The sequence below is a fragment of the Homo sapiens genome, chromosome 10 (assembly GCF_000001405.40).
Source record: "Homo sapiens chromosome 10, GRCh38.p14 Primary Assembly".
Taxonomy (NCBI): domain Eukaryota; kingdom Metazoa; phylum Chordata; class Mammalia; order Primates; family Hominidae; genus Homo; species Homo sapiens.
The window spans coordinates 133,358,814-133,379,167 of record NC_000010.11 but is presented as its reverse complement, the minus strand read 5'-3'; the positions used below and the strand labels follow the sequence as shown (position 1 = coordinate 133,379,167).

Genomic DNA, 20,354 nt, shown 5'->3' with positions numbered 1-20,354 from the left:
GGGGCGGGGAGGGGCGGGGAGGCGCGGGGAGGGGCGGGGAGGCGCGGGGAGGGGCGGGGAGGCGCGGGGAGGCGCGGGGAGGCGCGGGGAGGCGCGGGGAGGGGCGGGGAGGGGCGGGGAGGGGCGGGGAAGGGGCCGGGCCGAGCCCCACAGTGCGCCTCGGCCTCCGCGAGCCTCCGGACTGGGCTCGGGTCTCAGAGGGAAGCGCCCCGCGTGGGAGGGCCCGCGAGGACAGGCGTCAGGGAGCGTCCCGCGCTGCCGGGCGGTGCGCGCGAGCGTCCCCATGGAGGGAGAAGCCGGCCGGCCGGGCGGGCCAGTGTCTCCTCCAAGGGAGACGAGGGCGCAGCGAGCGCTTCCCCCAGGGACCCGCGTCGAGTGCGAGGGCGCAGTGGGTCTGGGGGTGCCACGGTGTCAGGGGTGGGACCTGGGAGAGCTTAACGCGTCCGGAGGGGGGCTGTGAAAGCCTCCAGCATCGCCAGCGAGCCGTCAGTTCGCGTGTGCGCGCGCCTGCGTGTGCGCGTGTAGTCACAGGGCTGCAGGGACACAGGACCAAAGTACAAAGTACACTCGCAAAGTACAAAGTTCAGAAGCCGAGGGCAAGTGCAGAAACGTCCCTCGCCCGGGAAGTTGAGCGCACACCCAGGCACGCCTGTGTTTCTGGAGAATCCCCGGTGCAGGCGGCCGAGTTTTCTGCTGCATCGCAGCCCGCGGGGGTTGGAAAGGCTCCCGCCCTGTTTTCAGGCGCGTCCCCGCCTCCTGAGCCCCGGTCCTCTGCCGAGGGGCCGCGCGCTCCAGTTTGCCAGCGTGAGCTTCACTCTTCGCTCTCGGCGTGGGCCTCCTGAGCCGTGTCTTACTTTCCTTTGATTCCCTCTCGTCCCAGCTGGAGAAAAGGCTCCCGGAAGGGTGACCTGGTGTCGCTGGATTCCACTCCCCATCACTCCCTAGCCAACCCCGCGAGCTGAGCTCCAGGCAGGGAGAGGGGCGGGTGCCTGGGAGTCGGGCTGACTCCCTGGGCGGTGGCGGGCAGGGGTCGAGCGTCCTCTGTCCGTCAGGGGCCCGCAGCACCAGGAGGCGACGCTGGATGCAGTGGCCATCTCCTCCTGCCTCCAGGCCATGGGGAACCCAGGGCGGATCCCGGGTCAGCAGGGCCAGCTGTCCACCAAGCTGACCCACCCGACATGCCAGGACTAAGGAAAGAAGGGCTGCCCCACACCCTTAGTCGGATGGCAAGTGTTTGGGGTGCAGCCCCCGCCACGAGTGTCACCTGTTCTGCCTGAGCAGGCTTCTCTCTTACTCCCTGCTCTTGGGCCTGAAGCAGAGCCGCTGGCTCAGTGGGGCGCTCCATTCTGAGGTCCCTGGCATGCACCACGGAAGCCCAGCGGGACCACCCACCCACCTGCCCCAGCTCCCCAGCGGAGGTCCTGAGATGGCAGATTAAATACTCTGGGGTTCTGAATTCCACAGATGAACTGGGTCCCCCACGGGTATGGCCAAGGGAACGGCCCACTCCCTAGTGGCTCCGTGTGAAATCGAGCTGCTGCTGCTCTCGCCGCAGGGCCCAGCTCACTGCCCAGACATAGGAGCACATCGCCCTGCGCACAGGCTGGGTGGGCACAGCTGTGAGGGAGGCCACCCCATGCCTCAGGCCTCCTGCACAGGCGTGGGCCTCGCCACTCTGGGTGGACAGGCTACTTTGGCCCCTCAGCCTCTGGGGACTGCTGCCCTGTTTTCAGCACCGTGTCAGGCACCATCTGGTCAGCCAGCTCCTCCAGCCCCGAGACTCCCGTGTCCTCATTCTCCTGGGCCGTTACGGTCGGCCAGTGCCCAGCCTTTGCTGGAAGGCTGTCCAGGCTGGGCTCTGGTCAGGCATCGATGTCCCCCAGGCACCTGGCCTCACCTCGCGTTGGGACAGCCTCTGCAAGATGGAACAGGAAGGGTCTGGCTTTGCCTCTGTCACCTTCTCCCGGTCCATCATGTCCTCCTGGCCAGCCCGTTCCTGGTTCCTGCGGGGAGCCCAGCCCGAAGGGGAACCGAAAGATTCTAACTTAACTCTAGTTCAGCCTCCCGGATCCTCCTGTGGAGCGGCAGGATCCCATAAAAGATACTTGGCTCAGCAACTTGCTGGCCAAGCCTCCCCACAGCGGTCCACACAGGCCAGAGGTAAACATGCCCATGCCCCACACCTGGAAGGCCTGGTGCAAGGAGGGGTGATTGTAGTGACTGAAATGGGAACTCTGGCTTTATGGCGCGGAGAGAGAAGACATGGACCCAAGAGCTGCAGGGTGGGGACAACCGACGCGCTCTTTGTCCCCTGGATGTGGTGCCACAGCCTGAATCCAATAGCACGGGCCGCTGACGCGCTGACCTGGGGCTGGGTTAGTCGCTCGTCCCCCTTGCTCTGAAATGGAGAGTGCACGTGACCACGGCCAGTCCTGGACAATCCTGCCATGCCAGAGCCACCAGCTGGAACACACGGACACAACCTCTTTTCCATCTGACTGGTACAAGGTATGTGCTTCTCCTAGCTCCAGAGGGCCTTGGGTGATGCCACCTATGGTGATCAAGGTGGCAACTACCCATGTGGCTTTGACTGAATCAGGCTTGTTCATTTTTTAAAATAGCTTTATTGATATAGACATCATGCTGTAAGACTTCTCCCGTTTAAAGTGTTCAATTCAATGGTGTTCAGTTTAGTTACAGAGTTGTGCCACTGTCACCATCATCCAGTTTAGAACTTTTTTGTTTTGTTTTGTTTTTTTGAGATGGAGTCTTGCTCTGTTGCCCAGGCTGGAGTGCAGTGACACTACCTTGGCTCACTGCAACCTCTGCCTTCCAAGTTCAAGCAATTCTCCTGCCTCAGCCTCCTGAGTAGCTGGGATTATAGGCATGTGCCACTACGCCCGGCTAATTTTTGTATTTTTAGTAGAGACGGAGTTTCACCATGTTGGACCAGGCTGGTCTCGAACACCTGACCTCAGGTGATCCACCTGCCTTGGCCTCCCAAAGTGCTGGGATTACAGGCGTGAACCACTGCGCCTGGCCCCAAGTTTAGGACATTTTCATCACCCTAAAAAGCAAATGGGGATGCCCCTCAGCAGTCCCCCCCATTACCCCTCCCTCCAGCCCCTGGTGACCGCTAATCTAGTTTCTGTCTCTGTGGATTTGCCTGTTCTGTACATTTCATAGAAATGGAACCTATTCAATGCACGGCCTTTGTGTCTGGCTTTTTTTACTGAGCATAACATTTCCAAGGCTTGTCCATTTTGTAATGTGTATCAGCGCTTCTTTCTTTTTTACTCCTGAATAGAGTCCATTGTATAGTCTAATACATTCTAATGTATCCATTGTTTGGATATATGACATTTTGTTTATCCATTCATGAGTTGATGGACAATTGGCTTTTTCCCTCTTTTTGGCTATTATGAATAATGTTGCTATGAACGTTCATGTCTAAGTTTTTGTGGACATTTGTCTTCATTTCTCTGAGGTGTACACCTAAGAGTGGAGTTGCTGTTTGACCTTTTGAGGAAACAACAGACTGTTTTCCAAAGTGACTGCACCATTTTCCATTCCCGCTGGCAGTGTACCAGCGTTCCCCGCTCACGTCCCCCACAACCCGCTGTGACTGTTGGGCTTTTTATTGCAGCCAGCACAGTAGGTGTGACGTCGTATCACTGAGGGGTCAGTTTGCATTTCCCTAATGATTCGTGATGCTGAGCTTATCTGACACTGATTATCTTCATTGGAGGAATGTCTGTTCAGTCCTCTCACTATCTTGGTAGTGTCCTTTCAGACATAAAAGTTTTAAATTTTGGTGAAATCCAATTTACATATGTTCTCCCTTTGTTGCTTGTGCTTTTGTGGCTACATTACTTGATGGAGGACGGGAGCTGCCCGGCCTCCTGGGTCGTTAGAAAGGAAACCTCTTGGCGGACACGGTGGTCCACTCCTGTAATTCCAGCACTTTGCGAGGCCGAGACCGGTGGATCACTTGAGGTCAGGAGTTCGAGAACAGCCTGGCCAACATGGCAAAACTCCCGACTCTACTAAAAAACTACAAATATTAGCCGGGCATGGTGGTAAGCACCCGTAGTTCCAGCTACTCAGGAGGCTGAGGCAGGAGAATCGCTTGAACCCGGGAGGCGCAAGCTATGATGAGCCGGGATGACACCACTGCACTCCAGCCTGGGTGACAGCGAGACAAGAAAGAAAGGAAAGAAGAGAAGGTGAAGGAGAAGGAAGGAAGGAAATAAACCTCTTTTCTGTCTGAGCCATTTCATTTTGGGCCTGTCTGTCCCAGAGGTTTAACTACACTAGTATAGAGCATCGTTTACTAAAGGTTTGTTGAGGTTTGTTGTTGATTTGTTTCTACTTACACGAGATGTCTTCATTTTTACCCTCGGTCTTGAAATAAAATTTTGGTGCATGTTCATTTTTGGTTTGAATTGAATTATTTTCTTGAACATAGTGAGGCAGGAGAACAGGGTCTGGAGGCCAATTCATGCTGACTCCCTAGAACTAAATCAAATGGAAACACTTCCGCTATGACAAGAAGTGTCCTCTCCATTTACACAGGGCGTACACCAAGTAACCAATGGAAACCTCTAGAGGGTATTTAACCCCCCCAAAAAATCTGTAACGGGGCTCTTGAGCCGCTATGCTCAGCCGCTCCCACAGTGTGGAGTTATTTTCGTTGTCTTTTCTTGTTTCTTTTTTGAGACGAAGTCTGGCTCTATCGCCCAGGCTGGAGGGCAGTGGTGCGATCTCGGCTCACTGCAACCTCCGCCTCCCGGATTCAAGCAATTCTCCTGCGTCAGCCTCCCGAGTAGCTAAGACCACAGGCGTGCACCACCACGCCCGGCTAATTTTTGTGTTTTTAGTAGAGAGGGGGGTTTCACCATGTTGCCCAGGCTGGTCTCAAACTCCTGACGTCAGGTGATCTGCCCGCCTTGGCCTCCCAAAGTGCTGGGATTACAGGCCTGAGCCACCGCGCCCGGCCACACTTTTGTTTTCCATAAATCTCGCTTTTGTTGCTTCCTTCTTTCCGTGCTTTGTTTGTGCGTTTTGTCCAGTTCTTTGTTCAAGACGTCAAGAACCTGGACACCCTCCACCGGTCACAATAGCAGTTTCGCTTTCCATTCCATTTTATCCAGGGTGGTTTTATCTCCACCCTGGCGTTTGCAGAATCCGGGCAAGTACACAAATGGATGCTCCACAATACTTGTCTAGATATTTAAAAGGTATAAATAAAATAACTTAAATGAATGAAATTTTTATTATTTAAATCTGTTGAAGTCTTGTGTGCATGAAAATAAAACTCCTCCTAATGTGGCGTTCAGTGCCCACGCCGCTGCCACCGTGCCTGGCCCTGCGCCTGGGCGCGCTGTGTCCGCTGCTACAGACGCCGGCGGGCAGGCGGGCAGGCGGGCAGGCGGGCAGGCGGGCAGGCGGGCAGGCGGGCAGGCGGGCGGGGGGAGGCGGCGCAGAGCCCGGCAGGCGCCGCCGTTGCCTCCGCCTCCGCGCGGTCTCCCCGGGGCCAGCTGGGACCCCGAGGGCTGGGGCGGGGGCGGGGGCGCGGGCGACTGCGGCGGGGCCTGGAGGGCGCTGGTCCCAGCCCAGGGCGGGGTCCCGGGGACGCCCCTCGGCCTTAGATCCGCGAGCGGCAGCTCGGGCCTGGGGGCGGGGCCTGGCGGAGAGCGACCCGCTCACTCTGCCCGGGCTGATCTCGCGAGGGCCGCCTGGTCTCGCGGCGCTGGCCTGTGGGCGGAGCGAGCCCTGAAAGGCTATAGGCGAGGGGGCGGCTCCGCGGGGCCGGGCGAGGAGTCCAGAGAGCCATGGCCGCCCTGCGTGTCCTGCTGTCCTGCGTCCGCGGCCCGCTGAGGCCCCCGGTTCGCTGTCCCGCCTGGCGTCCCTTCGCCTCGGGTGAGTGCGCGGTGAGAGCTGGCGGCCCGAATCTCCTCCTGACTCCGACCTGCACGCCCAGACCAGATCCCAGACCGCACCCCCCTCCCACCTGACCCCGCATCCCCCACCTGACCCCAACCCACACCCCTCTTCCGCCTGACCCCGCACCCTCACCTGACCCCTACCCGCACCCCACTCCGCCTGACCCCGCACCCCCCCGCCTGACCCCGCACCCCCCCACCTGACCCCGCACCCTCCGGCCTGACCCCTACCCGCACCCCACTCCGCCTGACCCCGCACCCCCCCACCTGACCCCGCACCCCCCGGCCTGACCCCGCACCCCTCTTCCGTCCGATCCCGCATCCCCAGGGCCTGACTCCGCACTCTCCTGCCTGACCCCGCACCTACCACCTGACCCCGACCCGCAGCCCCTGCCTGGCTCAGGCCTGCAACACCCCCCTCGCCTAGTGCTGCACCCCCCACCTGACCCGCACCCACAGCCTGACCCAGGCTTAACACCCCCCCACCACCCGCCACCCCGCACCGACACCACCCACCTGACCCTGGCCCGCACCCCCACCCCCTGCCTGGCTCTGCAGGAGGCCACTCTCACCAGGCCACGTCCTGCGGGAGGCCCGGCGGCTGGCTGGTACTGCCCCAGTGCCAAGACCTCTGGCCAACTGGGCGCAGGGTGGGGGTTGTAAAAATCCGGGGTGTTCCCTCGGCTCTAAGAGCAGGCGTAGCTCCTGTGCAGCCGGCCAGCCCGAGAACAGGAGATGCAGGTGCATTTTGTCCTGGGTGCCTCCTGACCAGGGCCACCCCTCAGAGGGTCCTAAGGGAAAAGCTGACACCTCCTCCCCAGCCACAGGGGGCTGCCCTCTTCCTCCCTCGTGGCTCACCCGGGGCCCCACTCATGAGCGGCCATCACCGGCTCTAGTATCTGAGGAATCTTGGGCCATGCCTTGGGCTGGGGAAGAACTCTTGCTTCCTCTTCCTCCCTCACCCTGTGTAGCAGTGGACCACTGAGTTGTGTTGGTTTCATCTCCATGCTCTCCTTGGCCTTCGGCTTCTCCACCCTGACAGCAGCCCTTTCCTGGATCTTGCATGGCGGGCACTGCTGCCAGACACTTCACCTGTGATCTTCCAGTTACCCCTAGAAACCCACAGGATACGGCGGGGCACAGTGGCTAATGCCTATAATCCCAGCACTTTGGGAGGCTGAGGCAGGTGGATCACCTGAGGTCATCAAGACCACCTTGGCCAACATGGTGAAACCCCATGTCTACTAAAAATACAAAAATTAGCCAGGTGTGGTGGTGTGTGACCGTAGTCCCAGCTACTCGGGAGGCTGAGGCAGGAGAATCACCTGAACCCTGTAGGCAGAGGTCGCAGTGAGCCAAGATTGCGCCACTGCACTCCAGCCTGGGCAATAGAGTGAGACTCGGTCTCCAAAAAAAAGAAACCCATAGCACAGGGACTATGATCCCTGCTCTGCCACTAACGGAGGCAAGCATCCAACACACAGGCTACCTTTGTCTTTTCAGGTTCACCTTCTCACCCCTGGAACGCCATTGTCCTTTGTCTCCTTCCCACCTTGCTGTCCACCCAGCAGGCGCAGGTCCTGTGCAGCAGGCCAACCGAGAAGCGCCTGCGTCTCCCATTTTCGGGCTGGCCTGCTGCTCCGGACCTGTGCCTGATCTTAATGCTGCAGGAACACCCAGGATTTTCACATCCCCCACCCTGCGTCCAGTTGGCCAGAGGTCTTGGCACTGGGGCGGTACCAAGTGCAAGGAGCTGCCTTACACCCCCTCACCTGTTGGCATTTGTTGAAAGAAGGTGTTTCCTGGTGCCTTGTCTCAGCAGAGTCCAGGGCTGTCTCCAGAGTGGTGTCCTGGGAAGAGCTGACCAAGGCATATTAGGAGAAGGAAAGCGGCTGTGGGCTGTGTTCTGTGCTGGGGATTTTTCTTTTTTTCTTTTCTTTTTTTTTGAGACGGAGTCTCACTCTGTCACCCAGGCTGGAGTGCAGTGGCATGATCTCAGCTCACTGCAAGCTCCACCTCCTGGGTTCATGCCACTCTCCTGCCTCAGCCTCCCCAGTAGCTGGGACTACAGGCGCCCGCCACAACACCCGACTAATTTTTTGTATTTTAGGTAGAGACGGCGTTTCACCGTGTTAGCCAGGATGGTCTCGATCTCCTGACCTTGTGATTCGACCGCTTCGGCCTCCCAAATTGCTGGGATTACAGGCGTGAGCCACCGCGCCCGGCCCGGGGATTTTCTTTAGGACATGTTCAAACACATGTGAAAGCAGAGAGAATGGTACCAAGGCTACCATCTATCCTTGTGGCTGAGAGCTACACCTGGAGCCACTGAGGACTCGGCAGGGAGCCCTCAGAGGGCCTCTTGGGGTCACACTGTATCCACCGATGGGGCCACATCCCTTCCCCCACTCTCCCCAGTTTGATACCTGTGTGAATAGATACCCCTTTTTGCCTTCTTGCTCCAGGTGCTAACTTTGAGTACATCATCGCAGAAAAAAGAGGGAAGAATAACACCGTGGGGTTGATCCAACTGAACCGCCCCAAGGCCCTCAATGCACTTTGCGATGGCCTGATTGACGAGCTCAACCAGGCCCTGAAGACCTTCGAGGAGGACCCGGCCGTGGGGGCCATTGTCCTCACCGGCGGGGATAAGGCCTTTGCAGGTACGCGCGGCAGCAGAGGCCTTTGTGTCTGGGCAGATGTGGGAGGCACGTATGGCCTTGGGAGAAGCCTCCAGACAGATTTGCGCCTCTGTGATGGCAGAGGCATGCGACTGGGGACTTCCTCAAATATCGAGTGAAGACGGTCATGGGAACGGCTTGCATGAGCAGCTTTGTGTATGCCAGAGAGCTGCATGTGCTCCACCAGCAAAACAGCTTCTTCAAAGGGGTTTAGGTCCTTGGCAGTCAGGCTTTGTGTGTGTCAAGGGCTTATGCCCTGACAAATATGCCTAGCCTCTGTGGGCGCCTCCCTTGCACCTGCTGCCTGCCTCAGGGCCCCTCTGCGTGACTTCTGTTCTAGCTGGCATTACAGCGTCCCTACAGCTGTCCACGTGGCCTGGTGTCAGCCGTGCCCAGCAACCCCACTGCCTGTGTCTGGTGTGCTCTGAAGTTCCTTGTTGGTCTGAGAGATATAGGATGGGTGGGCTCTCTGCTCTCTGGTAACTGGAACCTCCTTTCCACTCCTGCTAGCTGGAGCTGATATCAAGGAAATGCAGAACCTGAGTTTCCAGGACTGTTACTCCAGCAAGTTCTTGAAGCACTGGGACCACCTCACCCAGGTCAAGAAGCCAGTCATCGCTGCTGTCAATGGCTATGCCGTGAGTGTTGCTGCCAAGAGTCTCCTCCTCTCGTGGTTGAAGGAACCGTGCTGTGCATACACAGCATAACAGATTTTTATTTTGAAGAGGCCTTTAGTTCCCAGGCCAGCAGCCTCCTTTCCTGCCTCATGGTGCTAAAGAGCCAGGAACTGTGTGGAGAGGACACCTCCTGGCATCTGCTTTTTTCGTGGCTGTTCACCTGACAGCTTCTCCCCAGCAAGCCTCTCTTCCAGGGTGGGGGAAGAGAGGTGTTGGCTTTGGCTACATCTATAAACTAGCTTCTTTTGCTCCCCTTGAAAGCTCTGTGTCCTGGGACTATTTGAAGTGCTGAGACTGATCTTGGCCTATAGGGAAGGCAATGTGATCATTTCATGACGCTCCCTGCCGTGTAAGCCAGGGGTCTGCGGATTGTGATCATTTCATGACGCTCCCTGCCGTGTAAGCCAGGGGTCTGCGGATTGTGATCATTTCATGACGCTCCCTGCCGTGTAAACCAGGGGTCTGCGGATTGTGATCATTTCATGACACTCCCTGCCGTGTAAGCCAGGGGTCTGCGGATGGAGTTTTCCCGGCACAGCCACACCCACCTGTGCACCTAGTCTCTGTGGCTGCATTTCGGCCACAGCAGCAGAGTTGAGTCGTGGCAGCAGAGCCTGTAAGACCCTCATGGTCCTTTACAGGATGTTTGCCAGCCCCTGGTAAACAGCATCAACCATCTGTAGTTAACTTATCATAACAATTATCTAGTTTGGTGCCACCATGTTAGTCTTTGTCATACCCCCAACACTGTTTCTTTTAAATGGAAAATTTGAATAAGCAAGCAGAGTGATTTCTGACTGGGTTCCCCTGGTAAGACTCTCCTGATGCCGAATGTTTTACAGTTTGGCGGGGGCTGTGAGCTTGCCATGATGTGTGATATCATCTATGCCGGTGAGAAGGCCCAGTTTGCACAGCCGGAGATCTTAATAGGAACCATCCCAGGTAAAGAGTGACACTGTCTCTGGCATAGATGCCTTAGGTAATTACTCAAAATCTGCCTGTGTCTCAGGGCCCACAGCTCATATCTGACCAGAGGCCCTGGATGGACAGCCCCATGGCTGGTCAGTGGTCCCTCTGTGGACAGCCACGGAGGCTAGAGTGGTTGTGACAGAGCTTGGGGGGGGCCTTAGAGTCCCGGGACTGTGACTGTGCCCACATCTGATGGTGTTGGGAGAGGCTGGTCCTGGGTAACGCTGGCTTCTAACCATGACAGTTCTTGCTTGTGATTCGTGTCCATGGCAGAGAGGGAACATGGTGACCCTGGGTGGCACTGGGAGCTCTGCACACTGCCATCTCACTGGCCATGGAGGTCACATGGCCTGGGTTCAGGGTGGGGAGTCAGACCCCCCACCCAGGCCCGTGAGAAGGGCCTGGGCTCTTGGCAAAAAGCAACACCCTCTAACCCCAGGGTTCTCCTGGTAGGAAGGGTGGGCCCAGGCCGAGCAGCCAGGAGGGAGCTGAGACCCTGAGGGGAGCAGCTGCACTCAGGGTGCCCTTCGCTGCCCTCTGAGTTGGACGAGGCCGATTCTGAGGCCTGGAGCTGTGAGCTCGGTGCATTTGTTTCGGGTCTGATCCCTAGAACAGCTGCTACTATAAGGGACCAGTGCCTGGGGTCAGGGAGGCCTATAAGCTTCTAATATGTTGACCACAGAGGCTGGGGAGGGCCCTACAGAGTCATCACCTTGATCTAATGTCAGGGTGTTGGGGGAGTGTAGTGTCCAGCCCTACGGGGCTTAGCAGGTGTTCTCCCCATGTGCGGAGACGAGAGATTGTAAGAAATAAAGACACAAGACAAAGAGATAAAGAGAAAACAGCTGGGCCTGGGGGACCAATACCATCAAGAGGCGGAGACCGGTAGTGGCCCCGAATGGCTGGGCGCACTGATATTTATTGCATACAGGACGAGGGGGCAGGGTGAGGACGGTGAATCCTCTAAGTGATTGACAAGGTGAAGCAAGTCACGTGATCATGGGACAGGGGGCCCTTCCCTCTTAGGTAGCCGAAGCAGAGAGGGAAGGCAGCATATGTCAGCATTTTCTTCTATGCACTTACAAGAAAGATCAAAGACTTTAAGACTTTCACTCTTTCTTCTTCCACTATCTGCTACGAACTTCAAAGAGGAACCAGGAGTACGGGAGGAGCATGAAAGTGGACAAGGAGTGTGATCGTTGAAGCACCACAGGGAGGGGGTTAGGCCTCCGGATGACTGCGGGCAGGCCTGGAGAATATCCAGCCTCTCACAAGAAGCTGGTGGAGCAGTGTTCCCTGACTCCTCCAAGGAAAGGAGACTCCCTTTCATGGTCTGCTAAGTAATGGTTGCCTTCCCAGACACTGGCGTTACTGCTTGACCAAGGAGCCCTCAAGCGGCCCTTATGCAGGTGTGACAGAAGGCTCACCTCTTGCCTTCTAGGTCTCTTCTCACAATGTGCCTTCAGCACCTGACCCTATACCCGCCAGTTATTTCTTGGTTATATTAGTAATACAACAAAGAGTAATATTAAGAGCTAATGATTAATAATGTTTATACTAATGATTGATAATGTCCATGATCATCTCTATATCTAATTTGTATTATAACTATTGTTATTCTAACTATTTTCTTTATTATACCGAAACAGTTTGTGCCTTCAGTCTCTTGCCTCGGCACCTAGGTAATCCTTTGCCCACAGGGGAGCACCAGATGTGGGGCCTGAGCTTGAAAAGGGGCTGCTGCCCCTGATGTTCCCGGGCTCTTGTGCTGCCTGGCCTCTGACCCCTGGACCTAGTCTCAGGGCCTATCTTAAGCCCCTTGGAATTTGCTGGCTGCACAGCTGTGATGTCTTCTTGGGTTCACTCATCACAGTGCCAGCCATGACCAGCCCCTCCCTGCAGGTGCGGGCGGCACCCAGAGACTCACCCGTGCTGTTGGGAAGTCGCTGGCGATGGAGATGGTCCTCACTGGTGACCGGATCTCAGCCCAGGACGCCAAGCAAGCAGGTATGGGTTGGGGCTGCCCGCAAGAGCCACCTGGAAACCCGGGGTGGGAGCCCCACAGAAACCCAGGGCGGCATCCAGGTGTCCCCCTCGGGGGAGCCCCACAGAAACCCGGGGCAGCATCCAGGTGTCCCCCTCATGGGTGCCCCACAGAAACCCTGAGCTGCATCCAGTTGTCTCCCTCGTGGGAGCCCCACAGAAACCCAGAGCTGCATCCAGGTGTCCCCCATGGGGGAGCCCCACAGAAACCCAGGGCGGCATCCAGGTGTCCCCCTCGTGGGAGCCCCACAGAAACCCCGGGCAGCATCCAAGTGCCCCCACGGTGGTTGCATGAGCTTTTGGGTCCTGAGGACCTGGGAGAAGACTGACTGCCTTTTGTTTCTACATTTTGAAGTACTGTATGTACGGAAGTGAACCACACGTAAGTATCTGGTACAGAATAACAGCCCAGCAATTGCGTCCCCAAAATGCAGTGTAAGCAATGGGCATCTCCAGGCCTCAGTGGCCGGTCCTCCCACTGCCCTGTTGGTGATCACAGTCCCCGTGTCTGGCCGCCTCTGCCGTCGGAGCTGTGGCCAGCCTGGCCCACATGTCTGAGAGCACAGTGACCGCAGTGCCGAGATCACTCAGCACTCAGGAAGGGGCACGTGCGGCACTTCCCGTGTGGAAGCCGCCCTTGCTTAGCGTCCAGAGGCTGGGGTGCTCCAGCCACGCTGCTCCCCAGCGGCCACTCACTCGAGAAGGGATAGACAAGTGCTGTTTCTGCACATCACTCACTGACTTTCTTGTGTTTCAGGTCTTGTCAGCAAGATTTGTCCTGTTGAGACACTGGTGGAAGAAGCCATCCAGTGTGCAGAAAAAATTGCCAGCAATTCTAAAATTGTAGTAGCGATGGCCAAAGAATCAGTGAATGCAGGTAGGGGATCTGCCAGGAAGACACTGGAGAGGTCTCCGTGGCTGTCAGGAGCATTCCTCAGCAGCAGGCTTTCTGGCTCCAAATGAATATGCCTTAAGCCCTCCTGGGCAGAAATGCTTCTCAGTGTCTCAGTTCTGCTGTCTGTAGAGTCGTGGTTTCTGGTCACGCACTCAGGAACTCCGCTGAGATGTTCCCAGCTCCCCTTTGTACCAGGGCCCAAGAACTGAGCCAGGCCTGGGAGGTGAGGGCAGTACAGAGCTGGCAGTGGCAGGGAAAGGCTGAGAAGGGAGCAGAGGTCCCAAATGTAAAATGGTCTCTGCCATGGGGAGGCTCGGTTCACCTCCCGAGACCTGGGGTTGGCGGCTGCGTGTGCGCCTGGCAGGTGGCTACGCAGGCTTGCAGCCCAGCACCACGCTGTTCGTTCTTGGCCTGGATCCCTTTTAGTTCTCCCTCTGCCAGGGAAGTGGATCTGAACCTCCCCCTCCTCAGAAATGCTCAAGTTTTAATGTCACAATTTATTCTCAGCATGTGGAATGAGATGGTTATTAGCTGGTTGAGTCCGGACAGGTGTGGGTGGCCCCAGGCAGGTCCCCTAACCTCTCTGAGTGCATTTATCTCGAGGGTGTGGCCGTCCCCCGGGCTTGCCGTTGGCTTGAGGCAGGATACAGTGAGGAGAGCATTTTGAAAGAACGGAGGCTGCTGTCGCCCGAGGTGTTTGGCAAGGTCGTGCTCCCCTGGGAGAGGATGCTGGCACCAGCCCTGGAGCCACAGCGCCTGCCTCCATCTGCGCACCTGGATCTGCTCTGCTTGGCCTCGTGCAAAGAACGGGCCTGGAATGAGCAGAGCCAAAGGCGTTCTTGGTGCCGGCCGCGCCCAGCTCTGGCTCTCGTGCTGTCCTTCCTGGTTTTCATCCTTGGTTATTTTTCTCTGTTTGCAGCCCCGTTGCCGCCTCACAGCCTCTCCTCAAGGGCACAGTTTGCCATCTCACCTTTCATCCAGTTCCTCTCCCTTCTTGGGGCCGTGGGCTACCGGAGTGTGACGTTTGGGGGCCATAGCAGAGCTGTTGGTTCTGCCAGGTCTCCGCTGGGGCAGTGCCTTTGAGAAGGGCGGCACCATGGAAGCCTGTGCAGGGCTGGGCCACGTCGAAAGCACAGTTGTGCATGGGTCAGTGAGGAGGGCTTCCTGTCACCGTGCAGGAAAAGTTCTGCATGTAATATCTCCGTTCATAACTCTGGGACTTTGTTTTTCAGCTTTTGAAATGACATTAACAGAAGGAAGTAAGTTGGAGAAGAAACTCTTTTATTCAACCTTTGCCACTGTGAGTAAACAGTGTTCAACCGGAGAATCAAGCAAATTCCAGTCACACAAGTTGCTGGGAATTTCCTTTTAAATTTTATCATTAAGTATCGTTTCTTTCTGGTCAGAACTGCCAGCCTCACCTTTAACGGGATCAGATTGGTTCCATCAGTGGGTCTTGATGTTAGGAAAAAAGTAGAGCATGTACAAGTTCAAAAGTACAGAAACCTTACAGGGGCTTTTCTTGTTTTTCCTGTTATGTGAGGTCTGTGAATTGCACCCTCAAGCAGCTCCTTTATTGAAAATGCAGTTTCAGCCGGGTGGGTGTCGAGCATCCGTAGCCCCAGCTTCCTGGGAGGCTGAGGCGGGTCGTTCGAGTCCAACTGGGCAGCAAAGCAAGACCCCGTCTCAAAAAAAAGACTTTTTTAAAAAATGAGGCCGGGCGCGGTGGCTCACCCTGTAATCCCAGCACTTTGGGAGGCTGAGGCGGGTGGATTGCCTGAGCTCAGGAGTTTGAAACCAGCCTGGGCAACATGACGAAACCCGTCTCTACTAAAAATCCAAAAAATTAGCCGGGCGTGGTGGCAGGTGCCTGTAATCCCAGCTACTCTGGAAGTTGAGGCAGGAGAATCGCTTGAACCCAGAGGCGGAGATTACAGTGAGCCGAGATCACGCCACTGCACTCCAGCCTGGGAGACAGAGTGAGACTCTGTCTGAAAAAAAAAATGTAACTCATTTTACCCATGTTTTTTTAGATCATTCCAATTATTTGGAATAGGCTCAAATGTATTCTAATAAGATAAGCTGAAGCTTTAGAGCAATATTTTATAAGATTTCTGCCAGTAACTTAAAGTAATTCCTCTAATTACCATCATAATTTTAATTTTCTTCCCTTTGAGGCAGAGTCTTGCTCGGTCGTCCAGGCTGGAATGCAGTGGTGAGATCTCAGCTCACTGCAACCTCCACCTCCTGGGTTCAAGTGATTCTCCTGCTTCAGCCTCCCGAGTAGCTGGGATTACAGGTGCCCACCACCACACCTGGCTAATTTTTGTATTTTTAGTAGAGACAGAGTTTCACCATGTTGGCCAGGCTGGTCTTGAACTCCTGACCTCAAGTGATCTGCCTGCCTCGGCCTCCCACAGTGCTGGGATTATAGGCGTGAGCCACTGCACCCGGCCAGATTACCATTTTAATTCATGTCTTTCACTGGGAGAAAGTCATACTTCGGTGTTTTAATTGTTCTATAAAATAAAAATTAAAAGTGGTTTGGGCACCTGAGGAAGGGGTACAGATGCGTGTGTGTGTGTGTGTGTGTGTGTGTGTGCGCGCGCGCACACCTGGGGACACACGTGCACACAGTGTAAGAAAAGCAGATGCAGAGTTGAGTTCTCACGTCCTACTCCAACACAGAGTAGCCCCTGATACAGGCCACCCATCATCCAGTTGATGACATGGTGAGTGACCAAGATGGGTGCATCTGAGGCTCTTTAGATGTGAGCTTGTTGGACATACACAGTGGCTCCTGAATGACCGTCACCTAGACTGGTAGAGAGAGGCCGTGAAAATCCCCGCGCCCAGGCCCAGCTCTGATTGGGCAGGTGTTCCTGCCGCTGAGTCCCCTCCCCGGCCCCCTGGGCCCCTGTGAGCATGAGTGAGGCAGAGCCAGGGAGAGACGGGCGGACATTGGCATCAGGCTCTGTGAGGATACTGCGCGTCCAGCTCTGTTTCTGTTCCTTTTCCTGCCAGGATGACCGGAAAGAAGGGATGACCGCGTTTGTGGAAAAGAGAAAGGCCAACTTCAAAGACCAGTGAGAACCAGCTGCCCCTGCTTCACACCTCTGCTTGGAGAGGACAAGTGCAGCCTGTCAGTTTTAGAAGCAAGTAAATCATCCTCTTTTCAAGAGCAGTGTCCGTGGTGTGCAGTTCCTCTCCAATTGCTGCGTGGTCGTGGCCCGACCTCTCACGGCATGACAGCCTTCGTCACCCAGCCTGTGAGGGTCCTGACTGGAGCACCTTCTAAATCTAAGATTCTGCTGAGGAGCCCCCGCTGGTCCCTCTGGGCATGCTGTGCTCGGACGGAAAGCGGGGCCTGCGGGTCCTTGTGTCCCTGCCGCTGAAGAATGGGGCTGCTCTGAGGGAAACGCTGTCTGCTGCCTTCATACAGATGCTGATTAAAGTGATAGCGATTCAGATTACACCACGCCTTGTAGTCATGTCTGCAATGAGCATTCTGTCATGTTAGTTGTTTTTTTAAACTTTTTTGTTTTTTCACTGTAAGGAACAACATTCAAACAAAACAAGTTTGTATAGTCAGTTGCCTCACATCATACTTCCAGGGTAGCCACTGTGAACAGCTGGGCTTGTGACTTCCTAGAGTTCTGTGCACGCACCCACACACCCCTGCACACGGGCACAGGCATGGTCTATGGTTTTCTTCCACGCCCACTCACGTCGAGCCCTTTCCTCACGAGAGCCCACCCTATTTTCTTCCTACTTCTGTCATAAGGAGCTCTCTGTTCAGTTTACTGCATTCTTCTCTACTGTGGGAACACACGACGTCAACTTGATCATCTTAACCACTGTGTTTTAGAGACGGGCTGGAGTGCGTGGCTCAGTCACAGCTCACTGCAGCTTGAATCTCCTGGGCTCAAGTGATCCTCCCCCCCTCCCAAGTAGCTGGGACCACAGGGGCGCACTCCCACACCCAGCTGACTGTTTAAATTTACCTTTTGTAGAGACGGGGTTTCCCCGTGTTGCCCAGGCTGGTCTGAACCATTTCAAATGCACATTTCAGCGGCATTAAGTACGTTCTCGTTGTGCAGCCATGACTATCCAAGAAAGCTTTCATTTTCCCAAACGGAAACTGTCCCCGTTAAACAACAACCCCTTTTCTGCTTCCCTCCAGCTCCTGGCACCCACGCTTCTACTTCCTGTCTCTATGGAGGGACCTCCATTTATCCCTTTGGGTCAGGCTCATTTCACTCAGCCCCACCCCAAATCCCTGGGTTGAAATCCTAACCCCTACCGTGACTGCATTAGGAGGGGGGACTTTGGGCAATGACTAGTCACAAGGGCAGAGCTCTTCGAGTGGGTTTAGTGTCCTAGGAGAGAGAGGGTGGAGCTCCTCCAGTGGGATTAGTGCCCTATGAGGGGGCGGAGCTCCTCCAGTGGGATTAGTGCCCTATGAGGGCAGAGCTCTTCAAGTGGGATTAGTGCCCTATGAGGGGGCAGAGCTCTTTGGGATTAGTGCCCTGTGAGAGGGCGGAGCTCTTTGAGTGGGATTAGTGCCCTATGAGAGGGCGGAGCTCCTTCAGTGGGATTAATGCCCTAAGAGAAGGCAGAGCTCTTCCAGTGGGATTAGTGCCCTATGAGAGGATGGAGCTCTTCCAGTGAGATTAGTGCCCTATGAGAGGGCGGAGCTCCTCCAGTGGGATTACTGCCCTATGAGAAGATGGAGCTCTTTGAGTGGGATTAGTGCCCTATGAGAGGGCGGAGCTCCTCCAGTGGGATTAGTGCCCTATGAGGGGGCGGAGCTCCTCCAGTGGGATTACTGCCCTTAGGAGAGCCCTGAGGGCACTCTTTCACCCCTCCCACAATGTGAGTGCTCTGTGGGAAGGTGCTGTCTGTAAACCAGGGTGGGCCTCATCACACACCGAACCTGCCTGGAGCCTTGGCCTCCAGAACTGTGGAAAGTCAGTGTTTATCAGCCACCCAGACCATGCCACTGCATCACAGCAGCCCAAGCTAAGGCACATACTGTCCAGAAGGTTTGTGCCTGTTGTGGCATGTTTCACCATTTGATTTTCTCACTAAATGACAGTCCTATAACATTCTTTTTAGTGGCCCTGACGTTTCATACTATGGACATGTCATCATGCCCTTGGTTCTAGGTATTTCCCCCAGGGAAGCCCACCTGCCCCCAGCTCAGTGCAGACGCCAGAGAGCGTTTGCCGGTGTCTCCTCCACTTGGCCCCGCAGCTCAGTGTGCGTAGGTGGTCTAGATTGTGGTCATGGCCTTGGGTTGGGTGGGCAGAGTGTGTGAGCCCCCACCGCTGAGGACTTGGGCTGAATACCAAGGACAGGTTCACCTGCATCAAGAAAGAAGAACAGTGATCTTTGCCGAGCTCTGGTTCCCTGAACGCTGCAGGTGCCACGCCCGTGTGTCCGGTTACATGTACACGCAAAGGGGACACACGCATGCTCTGCGACCGCTTGCCTCGGAGGCATTGGCTCTGCACTCCCACCCACCCCGTCTGTCCTCCTGTGTGCTGTGATTGGAGTCCACTAGTTCAGAGCCGGCTTCAGGGTGGAGCAGGTTTATCTCGCTTCTGCCAGGGCAGGTGGGAGTTCTCATGCAGTTGGCCTTAAAACAGGCGGGAGATGTTCTTTTCAGATAAGCCTCAGATAAGCCTTGGGATCTGGGACTGTTTGACAAATACTGAAACAGGTACAAAGGGAGTTTGATTCAGGTCCAACAGGGCATAACAGGCTCTTCCCTTGGGGTAGGGAATCTGGAACCTGCTCACTTACTGGAGTGGAGCACGTGGAGTCTGCGTGGGTCATGAACCACTGGCCCTGGAGCCTGGAGTAAATATGCAGAGATAGATAGGCACCAAATGTTCAAGTATGCAAGGGAGGAAGCCTGAACATTGAGAAAATCCACTCCGTTTAATTTTTCATGTGCACTGGGGTCAGCCTCCATAATCTGATTTCAAGCAATGGAACCTCAGAGATCCGTAGGGCTGGCTGCAGCCTCACGTTCATACCTGTGTCAGCCACACTTGGCTGGAAGCCAAGAAAGGGCCCAGCATGGAAGCCGCATCTCAGAGGGCTGCGTCTAGTTATCTGGTTCCAGAGCTTGGCAGGGACAGACACCCAACCCTTAGGCTGGGGAATGGACTTTGTCTTCATGCTGGCCCCAGGGAGCCTGGAGGGAGGGGTGCCACTGTCCGGGGCAGGGGAACCCCAGACTCAGAGTGAGGCTTCCACTCACTCCTGAGCTAGTTGACCTCTGGCCCCATTATTGTTTGGGGTTTGATTAGGTGTTTTTTCTTTGTTGGTTTTGTTTTTTTTTTTGAGACGGAGTCACTTTCTGTCACCCAGGCTGGAGAGCAGTGGAGTGATCTCGGCTCACTGCACCCTCCGCTTCCCGGGTTCAAGCAATTCTCGTGCCTCAGCCTCCCAAGTAGCTGGGATTACAGGCACCAGTCACCATGCCTGGCTAATTTTTGTATATTTTGAAGAGACGGGGTTTCACCATGTTGGCCAGGCTGGTCTCCAACCCCTGACCTCAAGTGATCCGCCCGCCTCGGCCTCCCAAAGTGCTGGGATCACAGGTGTGAGCCACCGCGCCCGGCCTGATTTGGTTTTGAAGCTGAAAACTTTCTTGCCCATCTCTATAAAATCCTCTTGCCCTTGTATATTTGGGTAAACGGTGACTCTCCACTTACAAGTTGGAGTAGAAACTGCCCAGGTACAGCTCTGAAACCCGGTGGCCTCGGTGCAAAGCCACCCCTCATTGGCAGGCCCTGGGCAGCCCCGGTCTTCTCTCTGCCCGAGTGGCCGGCCCAGGGCCAGCTGTTCAGGTGCTGCTGGGTGCCAGCCTGGGTGGCCCCACCAGGCTTTTCCGACGCAGCCCAGGCCACTTCCCATGGGGACAGGCTCCTAGGGCCAAGCAGTTCAACATGGAGACGTCTGTTTCCTCCTGGTTTTCTGACGCGGCTTTGTCATTTTTCACATACAGATTGATTTTCAGAACTTTTTAGGAGCCGCCAGGCCTCAGAGCATTTGTGTCACCTCAGGGCTGAGGGCCAGGGCCGCAGTGCTAGCCCCACAGCTGGTGTCCAGCTGGGAATCATGTGGAAGA

At 55.8% G+C, this 20,354-nt stretch overlaps 1 protein-coding gene, 1 long non-coding RNA gene and 1 other non-coding gene across 3 annotated transcripts, besides 5 other annotated features; all 3 read left to right on the top strand.

The window, feature by feature from the left end:
- Positions 81-340: a silencer, noted in NCBI's record as "silent region_2978". NCBI's record gives its function as "represses an Ori minimal core promoter by ATAC-STARR-seq in GM12878 lymphoblastoid cells {active_cell/tissue: GM12878}" and the evidence as "EXISTENCE:reporter gene assay evidence [ECO:0000049][PMID:35858748]".
- LOC124902563 (uncharacterized) lies at positions 277-4,432 on the top strand. The gene is made up of 2 exons (XR_007062395.1): positions 277-2,508; positions 3,962-4,432. It is a non-coding gene; the product is annotated as an uncharacterized LOC124902563 (long non-coding RNA).
- Positions 314-813: an enhancer, noted in NCBI's record as "H3K4me1 hESC enhancer chr10:135191859-135192358 (GRCh37/hg19 assembly coordinates)". NCBI's record gives its function as "activates a minimal SCP1, AML or CMV promoter by ChIP-STARR-seq in naive H9 embryonic stem cells {active_cell/tissue: H9 hESC(naive)}" and the evidence as "EXISTENCE:reporter gene assay evidence [ECO:0000049][PMID:30033119]".
- Positions 5,071-5,160: an enhancer, noted in NCBI's record as "active region_4248". NCBI's record gives its function as "activates an Ori minimal core promoter by ATAC-STARR-seq in GM12878 lymphoblastoid cells {active_cell/tissue: GM12878}" and the evidence as "EXISTENCE:reporter gene assay evidence [ECO:0000049][PMID:35858748]".
- Positions 5,542-6,051: a silencer, noted in NCBI's record as "silent region_2977". NCBI's record gives its function as "represses an Ori minimal core promoter by ATAC-STARR-seq in GM12878 lymphoblastoid cells {active_cell/tissue: GM12878}" and the evidence as "EXISTENCE:reporter gene assay evidence [ECO:0000049][PMID:35858748]".
- ECHS1 (enoyl-CoA hydratase, short chain 1) lies at positions 5,814-16,683 on the top strand. Its single transcript, NM_004092.4, has 8 exons — positions 5,814-5,922; positions 8,411-8,608; positions 9,137-9,264; positions 10,146-10,245; positions 12,175-12,279; positions 13,073-13,192; positions 14,443-14,510; positions 16,235-16,683. The coding sequence occupies exons 1-8, from the start codon at positions 5,835-5,837 to the stop codon at positions 16,298-16,300; spliced, it is 873 nt and encodes a 290-aa protein (NP_004083.3). The 5' UTR covers positions 5,814-5,834; the 3' UTR covers positions 16,301-16,683.
- On the top strand, positions 7,505-7,612 carry MIR3944 (microRNA 3944). Its single transcript, NR_037509.1, has one exon. It is a non-coding gene; the product is annotated as a microRNA 3944 (primary transcript).
- Positions 19,726-19,888: a silencer, noted in NCBI's record as "fragment chr10:135172784-135172946 (GRCh37/hg19 assembly coordinates)". NCBI's record gives its function as "represses an EF-1alpha promoter that drives an FKBP-Casp9 reporter gene in an ReSE screen in phorbol 12-myristate 13-acetate-treated (for megakaryocytic differentiation) K562 erythroleukemia cells {active_cell/tissue: K562(+PMA)}" and the evidence as "EXISTENCE:reporter gene assay evidence [ECO:0000049][PMID:32094911]".